Source organism: Homo sapiens, chromosome 11, assembly GCF_000001405.40.
Source record: "Homo sapiens chromosome 11, GRCh38.p14 Primary Assembly".
In the NCBI taxonomy this organism is placed as follows: Eukaryota; Metazoa; Chordata; class Mammalia; order Primates; family Hominidae; genus Homo; species Homo sapiens.
The window spans coordinates 128469101-128490367 of record NC_000011.10 but is presented as its reverse complement, the minus strand read 5'-3'; the positions used below and the strand labels follow the sequence as shown (position 1 = coordinate 128490367).

Genomic DNA, 21267 nt, shown 5'->3' with positions numbered 1-21267 from the left:
ACACTAACCACATTGGAGTCAGCAGCTATGGGCCATGGCTGCCATCTGTTAGGACAATCATGACACACATACTGAGGCTGCCCCGTCTCCTGGGCTTGTTCTTGCCATCTTGGTATGAAGACAGTGGTCCTCAAACTTGCCTGCACACTAGAATCACTTCTGGATCTCTTGGAACAGCTCTGATGTTGGGCATTACACCTGCTGTCATCTGAACTTCTAAGTGTCATTGGTGGGTGTAGCCAGGTTAAACCTCAGGTCATGTATGAAGATTGCATGTTATCAATACTACAGTGCTACTCAAGCTATAGCTTATGATAAGTACAGACTTTGCAGAGTATCTGGTATAATACAGGCACCTAATAATGTTATTACCAAGTGCCATTTGAATGAATGACTACTACTAATTGCTACAATTGTTACCACTATAATTGGCTAAGATAAAAAATAATCGAGAATAATAGTCTCAAGTATATTATAGTTAAGAGCAGGGAGAGGCATGAGCAATCTCTTGTTATTATTGCTATTAAAGAAGCCATTTGTTCTGTTCAGGGCTTTAAAAAAGTCCAATGGGAATAAGGCAGTGAGAGAGGAGATTCATGGAAATCTTTGCCTGCAAGGACAGAGAATACTCATGTGGTACTTTTTGGCTGGCAGTAGTGACCTCCTAGCTGGTGAAATAGAGAAGGCGGAGATGTTGAATATGGAGGGGAGGGTTATGGAAGGCACTCAATGATGTGCAGGCTAGGCTGATGCTTCCTCATTCGATGAATAAAGATAGCATTCTCAGCTAAATTCAGCTCCTTCAGTGTCCTCTCTGAGGCTTGGATAGGAGTTAAAAGCCCGACCTGCTGGATCTTCATCTGATCTCTTTCCTCAGACCCCCGGCAGTGGACAGAAACCCATGTTCGGGACTGGGTGATGTGGGCTGTGAATGAATTCAGCCTGAAAGGTGTAGACTTCCAGAAGTTCTGTATGAATGGAGCAGCCCTCTGCGCCCTGGGTAAAGACTGCTTTCTCGAGCTGGCCCCAGACTTTGTTGGGGACATCTTATGGGAACATCTAGAGATCCTGCAGAAAGGTAAATATGTGGAAACAGAGAGAGGTGGAGGTTATGTGGGGTTGCTGTGAGAGTAGGTAGGGGGCTCACCCAATGGTGGGACGTCAATGCCTTTATCTGTGGGTGTCCTACTGTAGGACGTATGTGGGAATGTGCCTAGTACACTGCTCAGCATACAGCAGGTACTCTTAGATGAGTGTAATTTCTTTTTCTTCTACATATTGGGGGTTCAGATATTAATCTTCAGCAAGATTGTACCACTGAAGCTTCTTGGATTGCAACATTCTAATCCAGGTCCTTATCTCAAACCCATGCCCTGGTTGAACAAGCAGTGCCCACAGCCAACCCAAGAATAGTTTTTGTTTTTGTTTTTGTTTTTGTTTTCTGCAATCTTAATACACACTGCCTTGATGCATGCCCCATAATACCTCATCACATCCCGGGAAAGCTTAGCGTCTGAGACCGTATTAATAAGACAGATTTCTCTGCCCACTAACTGAATTGGAATTGCAGTAGTGCATCATACCTTTTACATCTGGAGCAGGAACTGGGGTTATATCAGGACGCTATGTTGCAACCTTATAATGACATGGCCTCCCCTAACAGCCTCTTCCAACCTTTTTGGACCAAGTGACTCATGTACCACAGTCCTGGCTGAGTATAGAAACAGCAGCAGGCGGCAAACTTGGGTGTTTTTGTGCTTATTTTTTTGAATTTTTTCTTAAAATAAATTGCAGTTACCAGCAGTCAGCAGTGCCCTTCAGCTGACTGTAAGCCTAGAAGCCCATTGCCCTCTCTAACCCAGGCCCATCCTTTCCCTGTGGTCATCAGCTCTAACCCTTGGCACAGACGCTGGGGGAGGGGAGCAAAACTCAGGATTAGCACTTTTACCCCGCATTATACCTTCCTTTGGTTAAGAATATATTCCATTCTGCAGTGCTCAAGAGAGACCCAAACTAGATTTCTCTGTGCTCAAAAATGTTATCTTTATTCCTTCTTTTCACTTTCTGTTGAAAAATAAGACATAAAGGAATACAGGAAAGAACTAGGTGAGTCTTTCTGTGGCTGCTTTTACCGAGGATGGCAGGCAGTTGCAAAGCACCGGCATGTTCTCCATGCACAGACACCCACTCATAGGTGTTGACATGAGCGACCTGTTTATAGAGGGAAACGATACGGCAGGCTCCTAACAGATCTGATTTGACTGTTGACTTCTAAACACAATAGCAGATTCAATCAGACTGTGTAACCCAGTATATTCTACTAAGAGGCTGTTTTCCTCCATTTATCAAAATGGAGCTGCTAGGTGTTTTGGGCTATCTAAGCCCATCTCTGATTGTAGTTACAATTAATATCTCTATCATGTCTCCCTGTTTCCAAAGTGCTTTCAAATACATTTTCTCTTTGGATTATCAAAATAACTGTGAGATAGTAAGGACAAGTCCTATTATTGTCCTTGTCTGTAAAATGAAGCTCAGGGTAGGCGATTTCTTCAGTATCACTCATCTCCTTTTCTTCATTTTATTTCAACTTTCAGTATATTTTTATTTTATTTTATTTTATTTATTTTTTGAGACAGAGTCTTGCTCTGTCACCCAGGCTGGAGTGCAGTCGCGCGATGTCGGCTCACTGCAACCTTCGCCTCCTAGGTTCAAGCGATTCTCCTGCCTCACCCTCCTGAGTAGCTGGGACTACAGGCGCATGCCACCATGCCTAGCTAATTTTTGTATTTTTAGTAGAGTCAGGGCTTCACCGTGTTGGCCAGGATGGTCTTGATCCCTTGACCTCGTGATCTGCCCACCTTGGCCTCCCAAAACACTGGGATTACAGGCGTGAGCCACCGCGCCTGCCCTCAATATATTTTTATTTAACTTAAAATTTAACATCCCATCCTGTGCTTTTTGTATAATAATGTGGATTCACAGGGGCCTTCTGGCCGCTAAGACTGGTTTGGCCTCACTTAGGGTAAAGGAATAATGTAAGAAAATTTAAGAGAATTAGGATATAAGTCAGTATGTTTGAGAGCAAAAGTCATATCTTCCCACCCAATATTCTGTTGAGAGAGGCAGAAAGAATTCTCCCTCTTCAGGTTCAGTTACTTGAAGAGATGAGCATGATGTTTGTGCTGAGGCTACAGCTTTTGTTCTGTAATTAAAGCAACACAGCAGCAAAAGAACATAGCTGTTTGGGGTGGGGTGGAAGGTGAAAGGTACGGGGATGTTTCAATCTGATAAACTGCTAAAGCAAAGTTTAATCATTTTATCTCAACTGGGAACTGTTTTTCTGTGCAGGCATAAACTTGTTTTCCCATCAGACTTTGCTCCTAACAAGCTATCAAATACCTGAGGAAAAACCCAAACCCATACTCTATGTCAGATTCTTATGGTGAAATATAATCAGACTACTCCATACAAGAATCGGAGCCATGGCATTTGTTCCAGGGTAATTAGAGGATCCCAGGCTTACTGCAGGGTCGTTCAGAGCTTTCTGTCCGCAGGTGCACTTCGTCTCCCTTCCTCTCCTTTTCCTAGGGGAGTTGGCATCTGGGCAGGAGCTTGACTGGGTTGCTCTTCTCTCCCTTGACACAAGCGCAGTCGCATTTCACCAAATGGAGTCACCTTACCAGTGTCCTGCTTCTTGTCTGGGCCTGAACTTGAAACCTGAGGGCAATGGGAAAAATACAAAACAAAAACCAGACATCTGTTAGAGGAAATGGAGAACGTAAAATCTATGGCCTAAAGACTGCAATATATTTTTGAGAAATTTTGAAATTGATTAGTTTGGGGGTTGGGGATTGATCCTGCTAACCTGGGATGTACTCAAGCCTTTGGCTATAGTGTGGTCGACATACACGCAGCACGAATGCATTGAGAATGAATGCTGAATGCCTTCTGAGCCCTTAGAGATTACTCATGGATTCTCTTTCCAAGATACTAAATCCCATTTTGCAGCTACTGAAATAATAACCTTAGTCATATTTTTTTGATCTCATCTTTAGACAAGGCCACAGTCAGGACAGACTCAGATACCAACCCAGTTAATGAGTATGCAGATTTCTTAGAAAAGGGGTTGAGATCATTGTGGTCTTTGCATCCAAGATCCTTTTAGGCCAAGCATGACTTGAATATTGACCTCTTTGTTCCTTCCCTATCTGTTCATTACAGAGGATGTGAAACCATATCAAGTTAATGGAGTCAACCCAGCCTATCCAGAATCCCGCTATACCTCGGATTACTTCATTAGTAAGTTCATTTCTACCCCTCTTCTCTCATGATAATAGCAAACTAGGAAAAGACCCCTATCTCAGTGAATCTCAGGCTCCTTCATGGTAATTCTATCAAAAATAATATCTTCTTAGATGTAGACTCTTCTTTGTTACTTTATTTTATTATTTTCCACAAAGCACAAAGTTTCAACCTATATATATGTTTCATTAACCTACCAAGTTCCTACACACTAGGATCCTTCTCTGATGTCTTCACCTGAAAGTCATGCAGAGAGACTGCAACTAGACCCCTAAACTTTTGTTCCTATTTGATACTGTGCACTACGATGGCCAAAAGAGGGTTGGGTTAGGGATTTGATCTTGGTCTTTGTTCTTTCCTTTTTACTAGTGGAGATAACAGCATTTCCTCCAAAATCCTTCTTTAAGAGTGTGCTATGCAGCTTCAAATTCTATTATAGGAAATACAGTCTTCTCCTTTTTCGTGTAAGATACCCAACCATACTGAAGAGATGGCCTGAGGGAAACAATGAATGTAGGCCTGTTGCACTAATGTAAGCTCTGAGATATAGGACCATCTTATCTGATGGCTGTGCTTTTACAGGGAATATGAAACAGGTTTTATTTTTTTCGTTTTATCTTTTTACGTTATTACAATTTTTATTCCAGTGACACAATGATATTAACTACTCTGTGTCAAGAGCTTATTGTGTGGGGAATGTTGGTGGGCATTTGACCTCTATCCTCATTTCATCTTCATCACAGTGCTCCGGGAAAAATCGCAATCACCCCCATTTTAGAGATGAGGATATGAAGTCAGGAAATCAATTACCTTGTCAAGGGCTAAAGCTGTTTAGTAGTGGACAAGGTTAAAAATGCAAGCTTTTCTGATTTAAAGTATTTTCCCTTATTCTCTAAGGAGCTTGTCCCACATCATAGGGCCCTGTAGATGGTGAAAACTGCTTATTTTAGGTACAAATCTCTCCTCTCTTTACTTGCAAACCCTTTGTTTCCAGGCTATGGTATTGAGCATGCCCAGTGTGTTCCACCATCGGAGTTCTCAGAGCCCAGCTTCATCACAGAGTCCTATCAGACGCTCCATCCCATCAGCTCGGAAGAGCTCCTCTCCCTCAAGTATGAGAATGACTACCCCTCGGTCATTCTCCGAGACCCTCTCCAGACAGACACCTTGCAGAATGACTACTTTGCTATCAAACAAGAAGTCGTCACCCCAGACAACATGTGCATGGGGAGGACCAGTCGTGGTAGGTCATATTTCTTCTCTAAAAGCTCTTGGGTTTACAAGAATTACCTGACTTTGTGAGTTTTTTTCAGGTTCCATTTTTTTTTTCTTATTTATTAGACCTGTAGATTCCTCAGTTTCAGCCTTCCCATCTTAGAGTGTCCAGATACTAAGAACTTTCCATCGTGGTGTTTTAGCCAAGTCCATTATTATGACAAAGGCCATGGGGTCCACAGTGAAATCAAAATCAGGCAATCTAAGAAATTAAATATCTTACTTGGGCAAAATGTTTTACTCAATAACTCTAGTTGAATTTGGTCATTTTGAAAGGTATGCTCTATTTTCCTTGAGGAGGACATAATCAAGTAAAAATGGTTCAAGTGGCCACCCTGGAAAACCCTTAAGCTTAGCATGTGTCCTGGTGCTCCTCCCAGAGGACTCCTGGGTCTGACTGTAGATCCTAGCTGGGTACCTGGAATGACCTCTGCTGGCCAGCCTGGGATCTTTAGCCTCCTGTGACTTTTTCGGTTTGGGAAGATACAAGATGGTTAACCAACGGTTTATTTGGAACCAGTCATCAGCAGTGTGGTGAAGTGTGTATTTAGCTAGAGGACCAGGGACGGAGGTGGCCAGGGGTTTCCAAAAGAAGGTAGTTTTGTTAACGTGACTATTATAATAGTGATAAAATATTCACTGTCAGGGAAGAAAGTGTTTAAAAATAGAGCTGGGTGACATAAAGCAAAAAAGGTAAAATGCACCCAATTTTTAGGAACAGGACATAAACACTCAGAGGTACAGCCTACCTAGTAAAGTGTCCAGATTGTTTTGTTTCTGAGAAAAATGCAATCTATTGTAAGAAAGGGTTTGTCTATTTAGCAAGAGCTAGATGATTTCTAAAAAGGTGAAAAACCTGACTTTTCTGGTGGGTAAATGGGAAAGAATTATAAATGGGAAGAGGAACAGGAGAAAGCTGATCAAGCGGGGCTTGGGTCAGATGTCAGGCTGGGGCTGGCCTATTAGTGATTTCTGCTCAATGACTGACCATATGCGGTGCCTATTGTGAGGCTCTTGGAGGAGAGCCCAATGGTACCTTTACTTTGAAGAATCATGGGTCATGCCCATTGTCGTCTTCTTCGAGTATTCAGACTCACACTTCCTCCTAGCAGGCCTAGGGATCACCAACAAGCCCTGCAGAGGGAAAGTCCCTGCAAAATCAGAACCCCTAATCTTCCTTCTTAAGGCCCCAGGGTGTTAGTGTTTCAGACCGAAGGGGATGGGTGGGACCAGTCGGCCTTCCCCTTTCTGGCTCTTTTTTATTTTTGGGTGCATGTCTATTTAAATACATACACACAAGTGTGTGTACATGTGTTTCTTTTTTATCAGGCGAGTCAAAGCATTAAAACGACTTTCTTCCTTGTGGGACTTTCTGTACATCTACACAGTGAGGCCAAGCCTGTGGGTTTGGGCTCAGCCATGTTGTAACTTTGGGTCGATCTCCTGTCACATTGTTTTGAAATTGCATCTGGCTTTGCATTTGTGTAATTGTCTCTTTCCCTCTCCTTTTCTTCATTCTTGGTTTTGGTCCCTACCACCCCTCCAACCCCAAACTAATGACTGTGGACCAAAAGTGACCCTTACAAGGAGACATGAGGTATTTCTTTCTGGCTCCACTCTTCTTCCCTCCCTCCAAGTTCAGGCCACAGAAACTTGAGGGGAAGACCATTTTGTGCAGGGCTGTTTTCTGCATGTTAGAAGTGCTGCAAACAGGGCCTATGCAAAGGGCCAATTGATTCTGAGATGCTGTGATTGGTCTAGACCGAAAGCATTACTGTTAGCTGATTGTTATTTATACTAACCATAGTACAGTATTCACGGGCTGCATTACAGCGTACAGAGTGCTTCTATGCCCCACTTATTTGGGCCCTAAGGACTGTCTTTGTACGAGTCTACTCAGTGGGTGGCTGGGTGCTGCCGCATCTTCTGTTTTGAGTGCTCTGAGGTCTGTTTGGTGGACTCAGATAGCTTTGGAAGGAGCTCGCCGAGGCCCTTCTCAGAAAGGCTGGCTAGTGGACAGTTTAGAGAACACAGGTTTCCCTACATGAGCGCAGCAGCATAACTGAGTATCTAATCCAGTTGGATTCTACCCATTTTTGGAGAAAATACCCGTAAATGAAGGTTCCCAGCACCAGGGTTGTGAAATCGAGCTAAAATGAAAGCTGCCTACCGCTGTAAACCACAACTCTCAACAGGGTTGCATTTGCCTCATGTTTGGGGGGTTGCCAGAGACTGGTTCTGGCTTGGTTTAGTCCCCTTGCTTAGTGGGACTCCTTGGAAACTCTACTATCTTGCTTGTGAAAATTCTGATGTCCTTTTTCTCCAAGTATAAAATTGGCTGATAGAAATGGAATCATTTCAGAGAGACTTTAGCATAAATACTATCGACTTGGTGCGGTGTTGATGAAAATATAAATTCTCCTTCTTAGGCTTTTGGTATGTTTGTCTCAAAGAGAAAATAAGTGACCATGAAGATCAGTAGCTGGTATGAACAAATACCTTTTTATGAGACGCCACAGAATTTCCTGTTCTGCTAAAACAAGGCTTTGACATTCTGGTTGTAGGCTGTTTTCTTAAATCATTTAGTGTGAATTTCTTGAAAGAAAATTAAATGATCTCTAAAAAGGTGAAAAAGATGACTTTTCTGGTGGGTAAATGGGAAAGAATTTTTAAGAATTATAAAGAAATATATATTCATTTTTAGTAAGAATGAAGAGGTGCCCTTTTGCTAGTGGACTGGGTGGGCAGGGCTGATAACTCCATGAAGCTCTTCAGTTTGCTTTCCAGAGATTACCCTCCTCTGAATGGATGAGTGGAGGAAGGAATGAGATGAAACGGATGACACCACCTTTCTGTTTAAAGCAGTTCCAGAGGGGGTCAGGATGTAGAGAAAACCCACAGCAGTGGATTTTACAAAAAGTACACACTCAACCGAATACATTTTATCCGGATCTTTAAACAATGTTGGGAGCAACATATTTTCCTATATATTTAATTTAGGTTTGGGCATCTGTTCATGTTTGATGTTTATTGTTTTAACCAATCTCCGCTGTCATGGAGGGAAAAATACACTGGAGGCACACTAATATGAAGTTGTATAAGTCAGCCTTATTCTGGGATTTGAAATTTATAGATCAACCACCCCTGAACAATTAAGAGTTGACTTACGGATATTTCTCCGTAAACATTTGTCACATCCCTTTGCCTTTTGGCCTGTGCTGAATTGAGGTGACCATCTAGTCTCCTATGATTTAACTTAGGTTACTTGAAAAGTATCTGAAAGTTGCATATAAAAACCATTCCTGCGAGCCTTTTTCGCTCTTAGATTCATTTGTTTTCCTCCAAAACTATTTTTTTTTTTTTTTTGCTAGCCTCCTTTTTAGTGGCATTTTTGCCAATGGAAATTTCTCCAGGAGCTATTGTGCAATCATAGCAGCTGTTTATAACCTGGTTTGGGAAATTAATGAACTTGCATGATCTTGTGGTCAGTTAAGAATGCCTTAAGCAACTCACACAGTAAAGGATTTCTGACACTGCTGTGGACCTTAACTCTTTAATAAACCTTTTAAATATTGCCTACACTTTTCCAATGAAGTTTAAATTTCAAGTACATAATTTTACTTGGAGAGGATAAAGAATATGGTTTTCTGTTTAGAAGAGTGATAGTGTGTGTGATTTTAAAAAATCTCTTGGGAAAAGCATCTTACACCATCTTACTCTATTTGAAAAGGCATAGGGTCAGTACATGTATTTCATATTAAAATAGTATTTGGGAAAAATGCTAAAAAATAGCACTTAGTTCCAAGGTCAAAACAGGCTAATCTGCTCTTAGTCTAATGGGATTCTTTTTTCTTATGACCAAAATGTTTTCCAAACTGGGCCTTTTGAAGTCATCTCATTGGCTTGAGCTGGAGTGGGGAATTCAGCCTGACATTGCTCTGATTTCTTCATTTATTCATTGGGCCTACGACATCAGCCAGAAATCATATCATAACATGTGTGATCCTCAGCTTCTAGATTTCTGGCTTTAGAACTCTTGAGGACCCAAACGCTACTCCGACAGATGTGAGCAACGTTTGACTCTGAATCTCTGTACTTGGAGTTCTCAAACCAGGCAGCAGAGTGGCCGTGGACCCTCGGATGGTGGCCTAGTGCAGCCCCTTTCCTCAGAGTAAACCCATGACCCCTGAAGCTTCTGTTCCCACTCGCCTCTCCCTTCTTCCGTCCTTCCTGCAGATCTGATTAGCAATCTGTCCTCCATAAGAGGGTTTTTACAGTTTTTTTTTTTTCCCACTCCCTCCTCCCCCTGTCCTCTTCCTACCTCCTCCTTTACCTCCAGGTAAACTCGGGGGCCAGGACTCTTTTGAAAGCATAGAGAGCTACGATAGTTGTGATCGCCTCACCCAGTCCTGGAGCAGCCAGTCATCTTTCAACAGCCTGCAGCGTGTTCCCTCCTATGACAGCTTCGACTCAGAGGACTATCCGGCTGCCCTGCCCAACCACAAGCCCAAGGGCACCTTCAAGGACTATGTGCGGGACCGTGCTGACCTCAATAAGGACAAGCCTGTCATTCCTGCTGCTGCCCTAGCTGGCTACACAGGTAGGCGCCCTCCCGCTGCTTAGGCCAACTCCATCTGCACGTTTCTGTGGGTGGGGTCCTGGAAGGCACTCTGCACCTCTGACCAGAGACGACGAGAGACTCCCTTTTGCAGGGCACGGGGGAGAAGTCTCTCTAAGAATTCTTTAGTCTCTCTCCAGCCACTCTGCTTGTGAATAGCCATTGATTTTTGGAAGCAAATAGTATCATTCTCTTCAAAGGGATCATTTCCAAGAATGGTAGGAAACTTACATTTTGGGTGTTTTTCCATGTCTGGGGGAAGGGAACTATAATGATCTGGTGTTCCTGGAAACTCTATCTAGTGGCCTGGCATCAGGGGATTTTTCCTGGTCTGCTCTTGGGAGGTCTTTCTAAATACAAAATCAGCAGCAGCATCTCTCAAAGGCACAACTGAATGGCCTCCGCACTGGACTCTTCTGCAGCACGGTTCTCCTTAGGCCAGCTGTTCAAATGTGGGAACAGTATCCTCAGTGGCACTACGCCCTGTCCAGATCCATCCTGGCCTATAGAGAATGCCCCTTCTCTTACTCGGCTTTATTATCAGTTTTCTTCCAGGAGCGAAAGCTATAGTTATGATAGTGATGGGTGAAGAAAGGCCATAGAGAAAGGAAGATGTAGGTTGAGAGCTTGAACTTTGATTGAGACTCTGGTAGTAGAGCAAAACAATGCTTTCTTCAAATGGGTTGTAGCATATCATGCTACTTAACCAGAAAAACATGTGGAGAGTATATCTGAGAAATAGCCAAGGAGCATTAATGTGTTAATCATCAGATCTCTCTGTAAGATTGTAGTGTTTTCTAAAAATTAGAAAGTGTGTTGTGAGTAGAGCTTATTTTAAAGTAGCTTTGATTACTCAGATGTGGTCTAGGCCTTTATTCTCTTATAATTCTCTCCACCCTGGATATGTTTTCATGTAGGGACCCTTTGTGTGGATGATGACAAACAGCAAGATCTGTGTTTCTATTGAGGTGTCTCTCTGATCCTTAGAGTATGCTGAATCCTTATTTTTGCATTCAGGGAAGCCTTAGGTCTTTTATGAAGAAAACCAGTGACCTTTGAGAACAACTCAAATGCTTGAAAACTTACTCCTCCTTCAAAGATCAGGAGTATCTCTCTTATATTGCATTCCATGTAGCTCCTAGTGCAGTTCATTGCATGAGTAGTGCTCAGGAATTATGTCTACATGTTGGAGTAGCAACAAGGTCAAGGCCAGGAATGGAACTTAAAGGTCCTTACTTTATTCTTTCTACAATACCCTGGTGGTCTTTGCTTGAACATGGCTAGCATGTAGGAACTTAGTACTTTTCAAGGGAGTCCTTTCCCATCTTTGAAAGGAGATTATTAGGAAGTATATCCATTTCCATTAAAAACGTCTGGGATGAGGAAAAGTGTATTAAGTCACTCTCAGGAAGTACAAGAGTGCCAGCTCATGCAGTTATACCTGTTAGGGGTTAAAGAACTAGACTGCAGTTGAATATAGTGATAAAGGAAGGGAGATGTGCTGCTTAATTGGGAAGAGAAAGGAAAGGCAGAGGTAGCTCTAAAATGACTTTGTGGCCTTGGGAGGTAGACATTATCTCTAATTGGCAGTGCTTGCTTCTGTTTTTGTGGTGCAGAGAAAACTATGCTCTAGGTCTGAGTTATGTTTGGATAGATTGATAGTTGCCTGCCCACCCTCTCTTCTGCCCTTCCTTCCTTCCTTCCTTCCTTCCTTCCTCCCTCCCTCTCTCCCTCCCTACCTCCTTTCCTTCTTTCCTTCCCCTCCCTCCCTTCCTCCCTCCCTCCCTTCCTCCCTCCCTCCCTTCCTTCCTCCTTCCTTCCTCCTTCCTTCCTCCTTCCTTCCTTCCTTCTTTCCTTCCCTCCTTCCCTCCCTCTCTCCCTCCCTCCTTCCTCCCTTCCTCCCTCCTTTCCTTCTTTTCTCTCTCTCTTTCTTCAGAAATGGGATAAGGGAGTAAAACATTTAGTGAGTAGAAGAGAAGGGGTGGTGATTATCTCTTAAAAGTCTCAAAGTCTGAAGTAATCATTTTAATGAAAAAACATTTTTGAAGCCTCTTACCATTTAATTCTTTCTCCTTGACAATTGCAATTTCACTTTTCATACTATCTCATGTGATGGCGAGAATAATAGTCCAGAAAACAGAAGTCCTCTGTGTTTCCTCCCAACTCTAACACACTGTGTGGTTTTAGGCAAATTTACCTTGTACCCTTTTCTACTTTTAGTGAAGTAGAAGTGTTCATTCTTATCTTGGTGGCAGGAAATCTGTGAAAGTGTAATTGAATTAAATCAACTAATTAAATAAATGAATGCTAGACATTGTGCTAGACATAGAGAAAAAAACCCTCAATTATAACAATTCAATTATTTCAGCAAATGTTTGAGCGCATATTGAGTGCAGAAAAGCGAGTATGTGGGCTCACTGTCTCCTTGGATTCAAGATATTTTAAATATCCTTAGACTTGAACTGGATTCTCCTATTGTTGTGGTCTGAATGAAAGTTGGGATTTGTTAGGTATGTGAGGAGCAGCCCACATTTTAGTATTTATTTTTTCCCTGTAATTGATACCTGGTGAACACCTCCTGCCTGTACTGCAGACTCACCCTCTGAGGGTGATCTCACACCCTCATGGTGCCCCCGCCAACCTCATTTAAGATGCGTCCTAGGGAATAGGGAAGCGGATGAAATGTGCCCATACAGCCTCACCCACCACCTGAGGCAGTCACTAGAGTGCCTATAAATGGCTGTCTAGCTTTATGCAGACATGTTAAGATGAGCTGAAATTTGCAAAAGTACTTTGGAAAGCAGAAATCATTGTATAGACTTGTTGGCAATACATTTTATTGCTTGTAAAAGTCACACTCACCTTCTCAGGTTCTGCTCAACTTTTCTGTCTGTTCCCTTAAAATTTGATTGCTCCAGAGTATGTTTGGCCACACAGTAGGGGTACACATAGCTCTATGTCACTATTACTTGGCCTGAACTAAAGGGTGCATGCTTAGATTCTCCAAGCTGGGAAGAGAATCCATCTCCCTGCCATTTCACCAGGAGTCTGGGTCTTTGTCCCTATCACGTCCAAAGGAATACATTTTACTTCTTGATAGGATGTCTTTCTTACTGCACTGTAAGTGCGGAAGCCAGTTAGAAACTGAATTTTCACATTCTCCTGCACAGTTACATTCTTCCTCCAAAGATAAGAAAATTGCATCAACCTTCACTGGGCTCCCATAGCAACTTGTTAAATGAGGTCAAGATGCGGGGGCAGATAACGTGGCTTGAAAGCCTGCCTGTTAGCTGAGTTAAGAATACATCAAATGCAATGTTGGCTTCCGCCAAAATGTACCTTCTTACCTTACTGTGAACTGTTTACGGTTATCAAACTGATACCATCAGAAAGCTCCATTTTCTTTTGTTCGAAGATACATTATGAACCCCTTCTAATTACAACACAGTCCTAGAGAAGTAGCCCAATGCTTTCTATATACATTTTATAGACCTAAGCAAAACGCTTTCCAAGTCCTTGAAAAACATAGGCATCTCTTCTTCCTCTTGCTTCTCCATTTCAGTAGGTATAGAATAATATAATGGGTTGTCACATAGTAGTCTCTCTTCCTCTCAACCCCTCTAGTCCCATTTCATAGATGATGAAACTGAGGCACAAAAAAATGACTTATTCAAGGCCATGTATGTAATTGCATTCTGCACAGAGGTAGCTTCTGAATTGAATCTTAAGCACCAAATGTCTCACCTGAATAGAAAATCTTTTCTTCATATTAGATAATGAGAGTACTCCTTGGTTATTGCAGTTGCCTGCCTAGACTGATTAGGACCTTATCTCCCTCTTGTCACTAATGAACACTATATGCATGTGGGTTAGGGGTATGTGGGAGGGAAGAGAGCTGGCCTTGGCTTCCGTCCAGAATTATTGACCTATAAATCACCTTTATTGAACTTCATTCCAGATTGTCAGACATAGCCACAGATAAGGAGTCCTATCACTTCTGCAGCTGTTGTTGAGCAGGTCTGGTGGTAATGCCCTTATCAATGTCTAGGTGTGTTCTCACTCTTTGATTTGCATTTATGAATGAAGTGATTTTCTTGTTTTCTAGGAGCCTGAAAAAGGCTAAACCCAAAGCCATTCACTAACTGTAATGAAATTATGTTTTATGGTGTTATGCAGATTTATAAGTAGGCAGTCCTTCAGTTTCCTTAAGGCTAAATTTGGGACTATCTGGAATTCAACTTCCAAATTTTTTTGTGTGTGTGAGACATCACACACACACACACACACACAAAGGTACTAGTCTTGCAGGAAAAGAAGCCCCGGGCCGGGTGCGGTGGCTCACGCCTGTAATCCCAGCACTTTGGGAGGCAGAGGCAGGCAGATCATGAGGTCAGGAGATCGAGACCATCCTGGCTAACACAGTGAAACCCCGTCTCTACTAAAAATACAAAAAACTAGCTGGGCGTGGTGGTGGGCGCCTGTAGTCCCAGCCACTTGGTAGGCTGAGGCAGGAGAATGCTGTGAACCCAGGAGGCGGAGCTTGCAGTGAGCCGAGATCGCACACTCCAGCCTGGGTGACAGAGCGAGACTCCGTCTCAAAAAAAAAAAAAAAAAAAGCCCTGTGCATTCTCCTCTAGGTCCTCTCAAGTTGATTCTGCCCTGAAATAAATCCTCTTCTTGTCATTTCATAGATGACTCTAGAGCCAGTCTAAAGTCACACAATAAGAAAGTCCCAGGGCCAAGTCCAGAACCTTAGAGTTCTGGCTCGTAGTTGAGTTTTAGGGATCAGTAACCCAAAACTACTGCTAAAACATGTTTTTGAAAATAAACAACTTTACTGCAAAAGGAAGTGCTTCAAAGCCCTTCAGTTCAGAATGAAACCTGAGATTTGGCAGCATTAGCTGAAATCACAGTTTTCTGAAGGAAGGCTCGATTGCAAAATAATCTCAATGTATTCAGGTACAAACAACAACTGAGGAAACTTTTGGTATGAGCCTAAGTTAGTGATAAGGAAAGAGTAAAAGCAGGTTACTAGTGCAGTGTGAATTTGTGCTGTGGGCATGTGATTAGGAACAGCGTAGAGCCTTTTAATTTGGGGAGATAACAGGAGCGAAGCTCTGGAATCTAAAGTCTCTCCATGTAAATGCTGTTGTGTAAGACAGTGTGAATTGGCTAAAGTCAGGCCCAGAGAAGTTAGGGCATTTCACTGAGGTCTGCAGGCCAGGCAAAGCTGGGGCTGGCTTCCAGGCTTGCTGAAGCCATCACAGTCTCAATGTAGACCATCCTTGGGCAGTACCTGATTGGATAAGAGGAAAAGAGCTTGGGAATGAGAAGGGCAGAAACAGAGTGTCTTCCCTTTCTTGCTCAGAGGCTGTTGTGATTAACTAGTTGCAGGAAGCTGGCAGCCCCCTCAGCTTAAATAGAGCCTTCCTGTCAGCCAGCAGCTGAGATGCTGGCAGGGATTCCATTCACGGTGCTGGGTTTAGCAGTGGATCCTAAAGGGGTGCCTGGCGTGGACCTGGGGATCTCAGTGGAGTAATAGACTCACATGCTGCTCAGTTATGTGATTGACGGGAAAATACTTTGGAGCACTGAGGAGGAAAATTCCCGGGAAGATTTGAACTGGTTGGGAGGCAAAGCTCTTTTCTATTGCCTGTGAGTAATTCCACTGTTTCTGCCTCCTATCTAATTAGTTTTGTATGAATTTTTCTTAATCATCTGCTACCAGTAGAAAAAGATCACATGGTAAAAAGATTCGTCCTCACTATGAACTTTTTTTTTTCTAAATGTCTTTTAAAAAACGTGGAAAGTGGTGATTGCCTATTTCTGTCATGGCTTTCAAAGACCACAACTGGCTGAAGCATCTTAGTGTCTTGATTCAGCTGCGGTAATACCTTGCAAGCAGTCTTTGGACAGAAGGGATCTATTCATACTGTACAATACATCCTGCACCCTGGTGCTGTTTACAACTCTCTGAGGTCTTGAGGGTGCCTGGATTTTGGATACCAGGAGACTCACGGGTTGACCCCTCTATTCTGGGTATAGCCCACTGCCTGTTTTAGAGGAAGAGTCTCTGAGTCTTAGATTTTTGGGGTCACTGTTTCTTTAATAAAGTCTCACTACAAATAATGGAATTGGGTGGTGACTGTTCTGGAATTCCACTCTGTCTCCAGTTTGAAGCTCCACCTTTGGAGGAAGCAAAATGTTTCCACTGAGCAGAATGCAGCCAGCGTGCTGCTGAGACATCCACACCAGTCTTTATTGCCTTTAAACAACAGGCCTCGGAAACTCCCCATCACCTCTGTTGGGAAAGGCCCTGCCAGGTGTCCCAGATGACCCTGCCTTTGCCCCCTTGGCACTTCTTTCTTTTCTCTGGACGGCCTCCCCTGCTGCAGAGAGTGAGCAGCTGCTGCTCTTTGTAGAGGCTCATTCAAGAGAAGCGCTGCCCTTCCTGTCTCCCTAAGGTGACTTGCATGTGATGCCTGCAGGTTGGAGCACTCATCAGCACCCCATCAGTCACTTGGGGATGCCTGCAGGTAGAGAAGTCCAAGTTAAACACAAGAAAGAGTGGTCATCCCATGCAGTTTTACCAAGGGCAACATTCAGGGGCCATCCCTGTAGAATTGAGAGCATGGAGTCAGGCCCTGCCAGTGAGCAGCTGTGTAACCTTTGGCAAGCTAACATCTCTGTATCTGTTTTCTCATCTGCAAATGGCAGTAATAATAGTTTCTATACCATAGGCTTGTTGTGAGAACTAATGAATTAGTTTATGGAGAGCACTTGGAGCAGTGCTGGGTATACAGGAAGCTAGGCTCTAAGTGCTAGCTGTCACCTACATTCCATAGTATTCTCCAAACCTTTTATTTTTCCAGTATAATTCTAAGTTCCTTGAGGCCAGGGAACAACGCATTTTACTTATAGAATTGCAGTAATTGCTGGCAGTGTCATGGGGCGTAGCAGGCATTTAATAATAATTAGGTCTTTTCAATTATTTAGCTCAATCCCAGATGTATTAAGTTCCTACTGTGTGCTTAGACTCCTTCATATACACTGACTTTTTAAATCCTTCACCAAATATCACATGAGGAAGTTTCTGTTATGCCCATTGTATAAATGAGGGAATCGAGACTTTTTTTTTTCTTTTTAGAGGAGGAGGTCTAGCCCAATGTTACACAGCAAACAACAAATAAGATGACTTTCAGGGTTTTCACATGTCAGAAAATATTCAAAATACTGTGTTAGTTTGAGTGTGCCGGAAAGCAGGTGCCAAGACATGATTAGATGTGCAAGATGTTTACGGAAGGAGCATCTATGAAGGAAAAAAAGGCAGCGAAGAGAAGGCAGCGGAACCTTCAGACCATGCTGCAGGTCTGGAAGGAGGAGATTTGGGTAGAAAGAGCCCTCAACTGCAGCTCCATTCTAAGAAAACTTTGGCTGGGCCCAGGGGATCTTTGGGTCAAGGTCGTCTGCTGGAGGAGCTCTGTGTCTCACAGGGGTGGACCTGCATGCCCTCACTGTGCTCAGTCCCTGGCTGGAGCAGTCCCCAGGATGAGGGGTGCTGGTGTGGACATGGTAGAGCCAGTCAATTATGTTCCCTGAAGCAGGAGAACTGAGTAGAACAGGTAGTGTGACAGCTGCAGGGACCTGAGCTGTAAACATGGCTTGTTGAGACCAGCACAGCTTTTCCATGTGGCAGGACTCAAGACCATGTGTCCCGACACTCTCAGTAGTCCGTGATGGGCTTCTGAGTTCAATGCATGTTGTTGACTGTAACTCCCCAAACTTTATTGTCTTTTGTATGACTCACCTCTCCCTGAGAGATAATGAGAGTGAAAGTTCTCCTAGAGTGATTGAATGTGAAAGTTTAAACTCTGAAACAAGGATGGGACTTGCTTTGTTGGAGATGCTCACAGGGCACAGGTCTGTGGAGGTGTTTGACATTCAGAGCTGAGGCGGTGGAGTTTCTTATGGAGGCCTCTCAAGGCTAGGTTCTCTGTTCTTTTTTTCTTTAAAGGCGTAGGTAGGACACTTTCAGCTTATCACGTTATGGTGAAACAAAAAGTACTTGTTCCGCTACCTCCATGCAGTTGTTAATATTGTGTTTTGCTATTCAACACACTCTGGCTACGTTTGAGGAGTGTTCAGAGATTATATGCTGGATAAATGCTTACAAAATTCGGTGTGCAAATGATCACTTAGGATCTAGTTCAACTACCTTCCAAGGATTCTATTATACCTAACTAGTGATTTCTCTCATTGTTGACATGCAGGGAAAACTTAACCCCTAGGATAAAATAAATTCCAGAGAGCAAGTTGAGAATCCTACTGAGAAAAGACTATAATCTTCAGACTTCTAAAGTCCTGTTTTCTAACCCTGATCAGTGAACATATCTTTCTTTCTTCTCATTACCTACACACTTAGGAAGATTTTTCTTTGTACATTTATAGTGGCTGGAAAAACCTTTTCTTTGGTTTATAACAAAATTCTTATCCCCTTCCCCCAAATCCAAACCTAACCCATCTCTGGTGACTTCTTAAAAGAACCGGTTACCTAGAAGACATCAGGAGGAAAGAGCTATAAAGAAACCCACTTCCTGACTTGAGCTTCACTGGCTCACTGTCCAAGTTTGTGTCTGAGTGTTAGCTTGAATGTGTTAGACAGAGTTACTGATGGGTTTAGAAGAAAGAGGTGGTTGCATTTGAATAGAGACTGCCCCTTTAAGAGAGGAACAGTCCCCTTTCTCCTGCTGCCGCCCCCACACATGTGTACTTGAGCACTTGCAGGTGTGCAGAGCCAGAGCAAAAACAAAGGTCTTTCCCTCATACCCTAAAAATGTGTAACTGTCTTGTTCTCAGACCCAAGTCAGACTGGCCAAATAAGCCTCACTTAACCCTGTTCCAGGTGGGAGGACTCCACTGGCCAGTTGCCAGCCACCTGGTCTTGCTGTCAAGCCTGTCTTGGGCCCTGATGGCTGGACAAGAGGTTCTGCTTGAACCCCAGTTAATGCTGGTGGGACCCGTCTCTTTGGGCCCAAACTATTGGCATTTGTGGGGAACGGTGTTGAACTTGCTCTAGGTGAGCTCTATACAATACTTAGGTGAAGAATACTTGGTGAGGGACATGAATAACTAAGGAAAAAGGTGCATCGGGAAAAGAGGATCTAAGTCCATCTGTGGCCAAGATTTCCCTAAACCATATATGCCTGTGATACTTTCACTTGCAAAGCAGTTTGCATCTGCTGTCTCTTTTGGTGCGTGTGCACTTTTAACATGGGAACAAGGATTTCAGAGTCTTCCCTAACTTAAAAAAGTCCTAAATGCTTATTCTCATTGAAAATATTAAAAATTTTTACATTCGTATACTGTAACTTTTTTTTCCTTAACCTCCAACTTTCTACTTTTTCAAAGTTGCCATACGAAGGCCAATTTAATCCTTGGAAGTCTAATTAGATTTTTTCTAGTGCTTTTACAATTTTTTTTAAATGCATCTTTTTTCTTGTTTTTTACTGAAAATTGTTTTTAAAAATATATTTTCTGTTGTTTCATTCTTCTTTGTAATTCCATTATTGTATATTCAGTTGCTCCTAAATTGTTCACCTCTTTAAGTGTCTTTCTCTCTCTCTGTCTATATATATGTATATATGCAGATTTTTGTAATAAGGACTTAATTTACATTTTTATAAACTAAAGAGAAGCAGAGATTACTATTTCCATTTTAGGAAAGGAAAAAGTAAAGCCCAGAGAGATTAAATGAGTTGCATAAGATTGCATATGGTGATTCAGGTAAGAACTGATATCAAAGCCTCGTACCCTCAACTCCCTACCCGGGGCTTTCCCACAGGCATCATATATTTTAATTTTATAGGATGCCGTCATCACTCAGTACTCCACTGCCTGACATGTAAAATGGCTTTTATTTTTAAATTTTTTGACACTCCTCCTCCTTTCGTTTTTGATCTAACATGCAAGAGACATGAACTCGGCAGTCAAAGACTGGTTTTAACTGATTTGAGAGCTGTTTTCTCACTCTTTTTCATGGTTAGATACTGGCTATCTCAGCAACAAATACAAGTTTATAAAGTTGTTGTTTGTTCATCATCGTGTTCAGCAAGTATGCTTTCCAAACACCTGTCAGAATGTTCTTTGTTGTTTGAGTTGAATTATTGGAAGTTATATTCCCAATCACTGCCCTTGAGTTATTAGCCACTGATACAGGAACACGTTTATAGAATATACTGACACAGAGTGAGTCTTTAAACCACGGCCGTATTGGCCAGTTATAGAATGTTATACATGGAGTGTGTTAGAGATGAGATAAGATTGGGTCAGGGTGGGGCAAAGAAAATATACAACTCAGAAGAAATGAGAGACATAGAACTCAGCCAAAATATCAAGCACTCCTGGCCCTTAATCTTCTTAAAATAATTTTCTCAGGGTCTTGATTGCCAGTCAGTCCAGCAATACAGTTTCTTGAGTTATTCATCCTCAGGCAACAAGACTTTGTGCAGCTTCAGGTTGAGCTTGGTCCAGAGGCCAAGAAACTGTCAGGATGTTTTCTGTTTTGTCCTTAAACTTAATGGAAATCAGGAGATTTAGGGGCCTTTGTGAATGGTGATTTAGAAGAGGGTTGACAGAAAGGGGTGATGCTTGGACTGGGGAGTCACCCACCCCACCCTCAGAGGTGCGTCCTCCTGTGGTAGCATGAAAGGCAGATTGATACACTTGTGAACAGATGGGTCATTTCTGGATTCGAATGTTCTGTTTTTGCCATCATCGTTTGGCTGTGGGTAGAGACACCTGGCTGGAAGGGAGGGGCCAGCAGGCCTGTTCCTCTGTTTTAGGGCCACCTGCCAGATGTGTGCTATCAGGGCAGAGTCAGCCCTATTGCAAGGGTGACCAACCATGAGAGTTTCATAGGTTAAAATAAATGTGGTGTCCTGCCCACACCGAGGTATTTGATTTGACTTTTAGAATAGAGCTAAAGGGATTAGCTTCTTAAAGTAGCAAATTAACTCCCAAAGGACAGGTAGTCATTTTCATTTTTGGGAACACGTTGATGAAATGCAGCCTGA

At 42.7% G+C, this 21267-nt stretch overlaps 1 protein-coding gene across 10 annotated transcripts in view, besides 9 other annotated features; it reads left to right on the top strand.

Annotated features, from left to right (window-relative positions):
• ETS1 (ETS proto-oncogene 1, transcription factor) overlaps window positions 1–21267 on the top strand; it is a 128794-nt gene that overhangs the window by 97191 nt on the left and 10336 nt on the right. For 7 of the 10 annotated variants that reach the window (XM_017017314.2, XM_017017315.3, NM_001143820.2 and 4 more), the window contains 4 exons: window positions 878–1078; window positions 4222–4299; window positions 5297–5545; window positions 9917–10177. In XM_017017314.2, the coding sequence (XP_016872803.1) occupies window positions 878–1078; window positions 4222–4299; window positions 5297–5545; window positions 9917–10177 (789 nt within the window). The remainder of the gene's footprint in view (window positions 1–877; window positions 1079–4221; window positions 4300–5296; window positions 5546–9916; window positions 10178–21267) is intronic. The other 3 variants (XM_047426527.1, NM_001330451.2, NM_001162422.2) reach the window with 2 other exon arrangements.
• Window positions 6821–6890: an enhancer, noted in NCBI's record as "active region_5723". NCBI's record gives its function as "activates an Ori minimal core promoter by ATAC-STARR-seq in GM12878 lymphoblastoid cells {active_cell/tissue: GM12878}" and the evidence as "EXISTENCE:reporter gene assay evidence [ECO:0000049][PMID:35858748]".
• Window positions 7261–7310: an enhancer, noted in NCBI's record as "active region_5722". NCBI's record gives its function as "activates an Ori minimal core promoter by ATAC-STARR-seq in GM12878 lymphoblastoid cells {active_cell/tissue: GM12878}" and the evidence as "EXISTENCE:reporter gene assay evidence [ECO:0000049][PMID:35858748]".
• Window positions 7491–7570: an enhancer, noted in NCBI's record as "active region_5721". NCBI's record gives its function as "activates an Ori minimal core promoter by ATAC-STARR-seq in GM12878 lymphoblastoid cells {active_cell/tissue: GM12878}" and the evidence as "EXISTENCE:reporter gene assay evidence [ECO:0000049][PMID:35858748]".
• Window positions 17800–18094: an enhancer, noted in NCBI's record as "tiled region #15716; K562 Activating non-DNase unmatched - State 23:Low". NCBI's record gives its function as "activates a minimal TATA promoter and a strong SV40 promoter by Sharpr-MPRA in K562 cells {active_cell/tissue: K562}" and the evidence as "EXISTENCE:reporter gene assay evidence [ECO:0000049][PMID:27701403]".
• Window positions 19097–19216: an enhancer, noted in NCBI's record as "active region_5720". NCBI's record gives its function as "activates an Ori minimal core promoter by ATAC-STARR-seq in GM12878 lymphoblastoid cells {active_cell/tissue: GM12878}" and the evidence as "EXISTENCE:reporter gene assay evidence [ECO:0000049][PMID:35858748]".
• Window positions 20035–20134: an enhancer, noted in NCBI's record as "active region_5719". NCBI's record gives its function as "activates an Ori minimal core promoter by ATAC-STARR-seq in GM12878 lymphoblastoid cells {active_cell/tissue: GM12878}" and the evidence as "EXISTENCE:reporter gene assay evidence [ECO:0000049][PMID:35858748]".
• Window positions 20145–20194: an enhancer, noted in NCBI's record as "active region_5718". NCBI's record gives its function as "activates an Ori minimal core promoter by ATAC-STARR-seq in GM12878 lymphoblastoid cells {active_cell/tissue: GM12878}" and the evidence as "EXISTENCE:reporter gene assay evidence [ECO:0000049][PMID:35858748]".
• Window positions 20495–20614: an enhancer, noted in NCBI's record as "active region_5717". NCBI's record gives its function as "activates an Ori minimal core promoter by ATAC-STARR-seq in GM12878 lymphoblastoid cells {active_cell/tissue: GM12878}" and the evidence as "EXISTENCE:reporter gene assay evidence [ECO:0000049][PMID:35858748]".
• Window positions 20665–20824: an enhancer, noted in NCBI's record as "active region_5716". NCBI's record gives its function as "activates an Ori minimal core promoter by ATAC-STARR-seq in GM12878 lymphoblastoid cells {active_cell/tissue: GM12878}" and the evidence as "EXISTENCE:reporter gene assay evidence [ECO:0000049][PMID:35858748]".